We start from the raw sequence: 8241 nt of genomic DNA on the forward strand, positions 1-8241 counted from the left end.
GCCCCAATACTAGTCTCATGAAAACCAAATGTCTCTTATTGATTTGGGAGAAATTGATGGGGAATTATTTGTTATGTTTCTGTCTTCATTTTCTTACTCCCTGTATGCTATTTATTCTATTACCTCTATGACCCTATAGAAACCAAAATCAGCTGTGTCACTGATTTCTACAAGTGGTCCACTTTTATTAGCATTTTGTGTTTTTTCTGAGCTGTACTAGAATGGGGGGATGTGGGGAGATATGAGAAGTTTCCAGAGAAAGTGGTGACACCACGCAGGTTCCTAGCTTTCTGCCGTCTCCTGAATCCCTTCTCTCTCTTTTGTCCTCTTATTTCAACATTCCACCTTTTCCTAGGCAACAAATAATATCCTCTCCTCTGTTCTAGCGAAGCTTAATGCTTCACAATCACTACTGTGACTTTAAATACTTATCAAACTATTTTTCTCACTAACTCAGCTATCACTTTTTTTCTTTTTCTTTTTTTTTTTTTGAGACAGAGTCTTGGTATCTCCAGGCTGGAGGGCAGTGGCAGGATCTCATCTCACTTCAACCTCTGCTTCCCAGGTTCAAGCGATTCCCCTGCCTCAGCCTCCTGAGTAGCTGGGACTACAGGCATGTGCCACCACACCCAGCTAATTTTTTGTAGTTTAGTAGAGATGGGGTTTCACCATGTTGGCCAGGATGGTCTCGATCTCCTGACCTGATGATCCACCCGCCTCAGCCTCCCAAAATGTTGGGATTACAGGTGTGAGCCACCGTGCCCAGCCTCAGCTATCACTTTTAAAGAGATTTTTGGTGAATTCATCTTTCTCCAACTTGTTACATAAATACAGGCCCTGATCTGAAATCTAATGTAAGCTTTTCTCTGTGATGTTGACAGTTCCTGTTTTGTGTTGCCAGAAGGAAAAGTGGGTTTGCCTGGGCAGTATCAGGTCCTTCCACAGAAAGCGGCTTACAGTACTTCGGGCTCCAACTTGAATTCTCTTAAACAAGGAAATGTACGAGCTCAACATCGTAAGAACTCTGAGAATGAGGAGGCTCTGGGTTGGCTGATTCAGCAGCTCAGTTAACTCACTAAGGACTCATATTTTCCCATCTTCACGCTGACATCTTTAGTAAGTAAATGGTGTTCTTACATTGGCTCCCTATGTGCTCACTAAAAAAATAAATAAATAAATTAAAAAAAAAAAGGTGCAGCACTTCCCACTATGATTGAACCCACGATGATTGGTCTAGAATAATGAGAGCCCAATCTTGCAAGCTCATAGGGATGAGGTAGCCAAGTCCTTAGGGAGGGGAGTAGGTCTCCGAAGAATATGTGGGTTCTGTTAAGAAGGAGAGGCAGGAGGAATTAAACCTCGGGTAGATAACCCGTGTTACCTGTTTCAAGAGAGGGGAAGTGAATGGAAAACAGAGAAAAGTTTCCATAAGGCCGTGGGCAACACTGTTCTATTGTTCTGGAGGCTGCAATAGGGTCTTGCATAAATACACATGAGCTTCTTTCTCTCTAGAGCATGATTGCTGGAGTTTGAGCAAAGCTTTATTCTCATCTTATTTGCAAGATAAGCCCAACAGCACCGTAATTTTTTTTTTTTTTTGAGATGGAGTTTCGCTCTTCTAGCCCAGGCTGGTGTGCGATGGCGTGATCTTGGCTCAGTGCAACTTCTGCTTCCCGGGTTCAAGTGATTCTCCTGCCTCAGCCTCCCAAGTAGCTGGGATTGCAGGTGTGTGCCACCACGTCTGGCTACTTTTTAGTAGAGACGGGGTTTCATCATGTTGATCAGGTGGTCTCAAACTCCTGACCTCAAGTGATCCACCTGCCTCGGCCTCTCAAAGTGCTGGGATTACAGGCGTGAGTCACTGCACCTGGCCCACCACCTTGATTTTTATCTCTTCAACTACCAGCCCAGAAGCCTCATCAGTGATTCCCCATTCCTACCCCAGCCTTAGATATGAGCTCACGTGAATCCCATATAGCCCATGAATTCTACACACATCAGCTGCATTGGCCTTAATGGGCATGGTTAGGATGGAGTACAGAGATAAAACCAAGTCTGGCAGACTGAAAAATGCCACCCTCCCCCATAAAAAAAGAGATTCCAAATCCTGACCCCTGGAATCTGTATTACCTTCTATGGCAAAGTGAATATTACCTTCTATGGCAACATGAATATTACCATAAATGGCAAAAGAGGTGATTAAGTTAAGGGTTTTGAGATAGAGAGAGTATCTTGGATTATCCGGGAGGGCCCTAAATACAATCACATGTATCCTTGTAAGAGAGAAACAGATTTGAGACGGAGAGGAGAACGTGATGTGATCGTAAGAGCAGAAAGAGTTTTGAAGATGCTGGCCTAGAAGATTGGAGCGATGTGGCCATAAGCCAAAGAATGCTGGCAGACACCAGTAGCTGGAAGAGGGAAGAAATGAATCCTCCCCTTAGAGCCTGCAGAAGGAGTGCGGCCCTTGGTGACACCTTGATTTCAGCCCAGTGATACTAAATTTGGACTTCTGTGAGAGAATAAATTTCTATTGTTGTAAGCCCCTGAGTAATTTGTTACAGCAGCCATGGAAAACCAATACACCAGGTCTAACCAGAGTGAGAAGTAGTGGTGGGAAATGCAGGCAATGTTGCTTCAGGGGTTTGGTCTTCAGGATGTCATGAACAGACCAGTTGGAGTGACCCAGATTGGATCCTGACACATGATGATTTCATGCTAGGGACGCCCACCCACACCCGGAGTGTGTGTCATACACAACACAGCAGATTCCTGGGCTCTGGTCCCAGACCTGATCATCAGAGGCAGCTACAGGCCACTGGGACAAAGGCCTAAAGGGACGAAAGCTCTTCTGTACTAAAGGGGAACATGCCCTGCATCACTGTAAATCCGAGGAAGGCATGGAGGGGGCTTCTTGTCAGCAGCCTGGCTTGTGAGAGGGAGCCAGAAATTCCACTTGGGAGAGTGACAACTTAGCACACTTCCTAGGTTGGTAGAGTTTCAGGGAGTATTTGTTACTTGGGTATTTAGTGAAGACATTGGACTCAGCTCAAGTGTCAAGTTCAGTTCCTAGCAGCTGTGTTGGATGCCTTGTGGAGGAAGGTTTTGAGAAGGATGGCTGTGACTGAGTAGCGAGGTGCACCATAGACCCAGCAGGGCAGTGGCAGCCCTCTCAGCAGGTGTCTGCCCTGCAATGATCAGCATTCCTGGCTCTTTCTCCCAATGTCAGGCATCCCTTTGGTTCAGAAATTACATTCCATCTTGCTAACTTATTAATCAATCAGTAGGAATCACAGAGCAAGTCTATGTCGAAAGGTCTGTGCTAAAATGTTGTGGAGACAAAGAAAAGTCCTTCACGGTGGTTGCCATCTAGAGACTGCCTTCTGCGTGGCTGTGTGTCCTTCCTGCCTTCTCCAGGGTTCTACTGCTCAACTAGACTCACCAAAACAGAGGTGGAAAGTGCCCTTCAGTGGATTTATTCCAGGATTTTCTATGCCTTTCACTTTCTTGGAGTAATATATATTTTAAAAAAACTTTGGCCAGATAATGATGTAACAATAAACCTGCCACATAGTACCAAAAAAGGGTAATCTGTGACAATAAAACATTGAATGAGTTTAAATTACAAAGAATTTTCTACAGTGTCCTTTCTTTTCTTGGTTGACTGCAGACCACTAAAAACTTGTTCGTGGGCTGGCTTTGAGCCAGCATTTGAGAGTCTGGATAATCTGTTCAGGCTGCTATAATGAAGTGCCACAAACTGGGTGGCTTAAACAACAGAAATGTACTGTGTCCGTTCTGGAGGCCAGAAGTCCAAGGTCAAGGTGTCAGCAGGGCTGGTTCCTTCTGAGGGCTTTGCAGGAGAATTGGCTCCATGCCTCTCACCTAGATGCTGGTAATTTCAGGCATTGCTTGGCTTGTAGAAGGGATTCTCCCTGTGTCTTCACATCACTGTCCCTCTCTGCATATCTGTCTCTGTGTCCAAATTTCTCCATTTTATGAGGACACAGTCACATTGGATTAGGGCCCACCTTAGTGACCTCATCATGGCCAGGTGAGGTGGCTCATGCCTGTAATCCTACTACTTTGGGAGGCCAAAGCAGATGGATAGCTTGAGCCCAGGAGTTCTAGACCAGCCTGGGCAACATGGCGAGTCTCTAAAAAAAATCCAAAGAAATTAGCCAGGTGTGGTGGCCTGTATCTGTAGTCCTAGCTACTCAGGAGGCTGAGGTGGGAGGATCACTTGAGTCCAGGACATCGAGGCTGCAGTGAGCCATGATTGCGCCACTGCACTCCAGCCTGGATGACAGTGAGACCCTGTCTCAAAAAAAAAAAAAAAAAAAAGAGACCTCACTATAACTTGATCATCTGTGATCTTATTTTCAAATAAGATCACTTTGAAATATTTTAAGGGTATACAATTCAACCCATAATAAGAGCTATTGTTTTATCCAGTAACATGTTCTTTCAGTGTGTCTAGTCACCCATCCACTAATCAGAGGCTGTCAGGGAAGCTGAGTGCATGAAGATCCTGGCTGCAGTGTGCTTTATAACAGCAAGATCTGGGAGAAGAGGGTATAGGGAAATGATTTAGTGAAATGTCATCTCATCTCAACGGAGCCATTTAAAAGCTTGTTTATGCAGAGTCCATAACCACATGAAAAATGTTCATGACTCCTGTTCGTTTAAAAGGAGGTCACCCTTCCTCCCTCCCCCTGACCTTCCCTTAGTCTCAAAGATGGGTCTGGATCAAAGAAAGTGTGTTTCAACCTCAAGAAGAGGAGCATTCCCGGCCGGGCACGGTGGCTCACACCTGTAATCCCAGCACTTTGGGAGGCCAAGGTGGGTGGATCACGAGGTCAAGAGATCGAAATCATCCTGGCCAACATGGTGAAACTCCATCTCTACTAAAAATACAAAAATTAGCTGGGTGTGGTGGTGCATGCCTGTAGTCCCAGCTGGATCATATGGTGGGTGTCTATTGAACTATGTAAGAAATTGTCAAACTGTTCTTTCAAATTGGCCAGGAGAGCCATTTTGCATCCCTGCCAGTAATGCATGAGAGCTCCAGTGCTCTGTATCCTCTATGGCACTTGCTGTAGTGCCATGAGGGAGGCTGAGGCAGGAGAATCGCTTGAACCCAGGAGGCAGAGGTTGCAGTGAGCCGATATTAGGCCACTGCACTCCAGCCTGGGTGACAGAGTGGGACTCTCAAAAAAAAAAAAGGAAGAGGGGCATTCCCGTGGATTGGTCATGGTTGAGGACATTGGTCAGGTCAGGTGTTAAGAACATTCTCCCTCTCTTGATCCTCTGTCTCTTGTCTTCCCAGCAGCCTAGAAAGATCAGATGCAGCCTGTGGCATGCTCCCTCCTGGGAGACGCTTCTGTTCTGTGGTTCACTCTCTCCTTTCTCACAAGTTCACAAATGACTTTTACATCTGGTAAGTGAATTCTCACAATAGTCCCATGAGATGCTTACATTAGGTATGTCCATTTTACAGATGAGGACACTGAGGCACAGGAAGTCAAGAAACCTGCACAAAGCCATGCAACAACCAGCCAGTATCTGAGTCATGACCAAAGCCCAGAGCCCAGTCTGCCTTCTTGTCTGAGGTCCTTTCGACAGCCTGCATTGCTTATCTTCTAGGACAATCTGGCCCTAGGGAAGGAGGCCACCTGGACAGCACCATGGCGACACAGAGGGCACCAGATATGGGAAAGTTTCTCTCTGAGACCATGTTTGCTTCTGTTTCTCAAGCCAAGTTAATTCTCTCCTAGAACAACGCCAGTTAGAAATGGGGGAAGCTACTGAAATACCTTTGGTGGCTTGTCTTGCATCGATATTATTTTCTCCCACTGAGGAGTTAGAGGGTTTCTGGTTATGTGCTATGTAAATTCTTTGGCTCATTCTTTTTTTTCCATCCTTCCCTCCATGGTCCATCAGGAAAATCATGGTTAAATGAGTGAGTAAAAGCTTATGATTTGCCCGTCCACGTCCCAACTTCCTTCTTCCTTTAGACCTTTTTGTGTGACATGTATTTTCTTTGACCCTGATTTTTTATTTATAGCTTCTACTTTATTGAAAGCACTCTTGTAAGCTGCCTCTATTCCTTTGTGGATTGAAACAGAGTGTAAGGAAATAAAATATTATCTTTTTTTCAGAAAAAGAACATTTTGGAAAATGAAAGTGTATTTTCCGTGTTTGTTTTGTTTTGTGATAGAAACAGAAGATAAGGGAAGGATTATCCAATTCTACAAGCTTTGTGCTCTGGGGAATACAGGACTGATGCTTGATATTAAATGTATGTGCTACAGTGTAAATTTCTACTATTGGAATAATTGTGCTGGCATTGTTATTTTCACCTTTATTATCACTTTCATATATTATTACAGGGAGGAGGAAAGAGTAGGATGTGAATTCTTTCACTCTTTTTGTTCAAAGTCAGCTTTATCGATAATTTACAAAACGTAAAATTTATCCTTCTTAAGTATGCAATTCAATACATATTTGCCGAAGTTTCAGAGTCATATAACCACCACCACAATTCAGATGTAGAACATTTCCCTCACTCTAGAAAGTTCCCTCATGCCCTTTTGCAATCAACAATCTTCCCCATTCTGCCCCTGCTCTCAGCCCATTCACCTGATTTCTGTCCAAATATTTTTGAGTTGTTTTGCTCCAAGTGTTATTATATAAATAAAACCATACAGTATGTGGCCTTTTGTGTCTGACTGCTTTCAACTGGCATCATGCTTTTAAAGATCATCCATGTTATTGCATATACTAGTCGTTCATTTCTTTTTATTGCTTCACAGCTGTTTTAGTCTGTTTTGTGTTGACACAACATAATACAAGAGGCTGGGTAATTTACAGAGAAAAGAAGTTTATGTAGCTCATGGTTCTGGAGGCTGGAAAGTCCAAGAGCATGGTGCCTGCATCTGGTGACAGCCTTCATGCTGCATCATCCATAGTGGAAGGTGAAAGGGCAAGAGACAGCAAAAGTGAGAGAGCAAGAGAGTGCCCAACTCACTTTTATCACAATCCACTCTCGAGATAACAAACTCACTCCCTTCCTAATGACATTAATCCTTTCATGAGCCCTCATGGCCTAATCACCTCTTAATACAGTCACAATGGCAATTAAATTTTAGCATGAGTTTTGGAGGGGACATTGAATCCATAGCAGTAGCAATTTATCTTTTTTTAGTTGAGGAACATTTGGATTGTTTATAATTTGGGGTGATTATGAATAAAGCTGCCATAAACATTTGCATGCAGGTCTTTTTGTGGACATATATTTTCATTTCTTTTGGATGAACATCTATAATAAGATTGCTGGGTCATATGGTGGGTATATATTGAACTATATAAGAAATTGTCAAACTGTTCTTTCAAAGTGGCCAGGAGAGCCATTTTGCATCCTTGCCAGTAATGCATGAGAGCTCCAGTGCTCTGTATCCTCTATGGCACTTGCTATTTATGACTTTTGTTTGTTTGTTTGTTTTTGCCATTCTAATAGGTATGTAGAGGTATCTCATTGTGGTTTTAAATTTCATTTACCTGGTCGGGCGCAGTGGCTCACGCCTGTAATCCCAGCACTTTGGGAGGCCGAGGCGGGCAAATCACGAGGTCAGGAGATGGAGACCATCCTGGCTAACATGGTGAAACCCCGTCTCTACCAAAAATACAAAAAATTGGCCAGGCGTGGTGGTGGGTGCCTGTAGTCCCAGCTACTTGGAAGGCTGAGGCAGGAGAATGGCGTGAACCCTGGAGGCGGAACTTGCAGTGAGCCGAGATCACGCCACTGAACTCCAGCCTGGGCAACAGAGCGAGACTCTGTCTCAAAAAAAAAATAAAATAAATAAATTGCATTTACCTAATGGCTAATGTTATTGAGCATTTTTCATGTGTTTACTCGCCATCTGCATCTTTACTTAAGTGTCTGTTTAAATCTTTTGTCCATTTTTAATGGTGTTGATTTTCTAATCATTGAGGGGTAAGAGTTCTTTATATGTTTGGGATACAAGTCCTTTATCAGATATGTTTTTCCACAAGCACTTTCTACAAGTCTGAAGCTTGCTTTTAAAATTTTCTTAACAGTGTTTTCTGCAGAGCAGAAGTTTTTAATTTTAATAAAGTCCAAGTTATCAATTATTTTTATAGTTTTTGCTGTATGTGCTTATCTATAAAAATCTTTGCCTAACCCAAGGTAACAGAAATTTTCTTCCATTCTCTTCTAGA

At 43.4% G+C, this 8241-nt stretch overlaps 1 long non-coding RNA gene across 1 annotated transcript; it reads left to right on the plus strand.

Annotated features, from left to right (window-relative positions):
* The first annotated feature begins 368 nt into the window (after window positions 1-368).
* LOC124901139 (uncharacterized) lies at window positions 369-6320 on the plus strand. The gene is made up of 2 exons (XR_007059061.1): window positions 369-1116; window positions 5501-6320. It is a non-coding gene; the product is annotated as an uncharacterized LOC124901139 (long non-coding RNA).
* The last annotated feature ends 1921 nt before the right edge of the window (window positions 6321-8241 follow it).

Source organism: Homo sapiens, chromosome 5 (genome assembly GCF_000001405.40).
Source record: "Homo sapiens chromosome 5, GRCh38.p14 Primary Assembly".
Taxonomy (NCBI): Eukaryota; Metazoa; Chordata; class Mammalia; order Primates; family Hominidae; genus Homo; species Homo sapiens.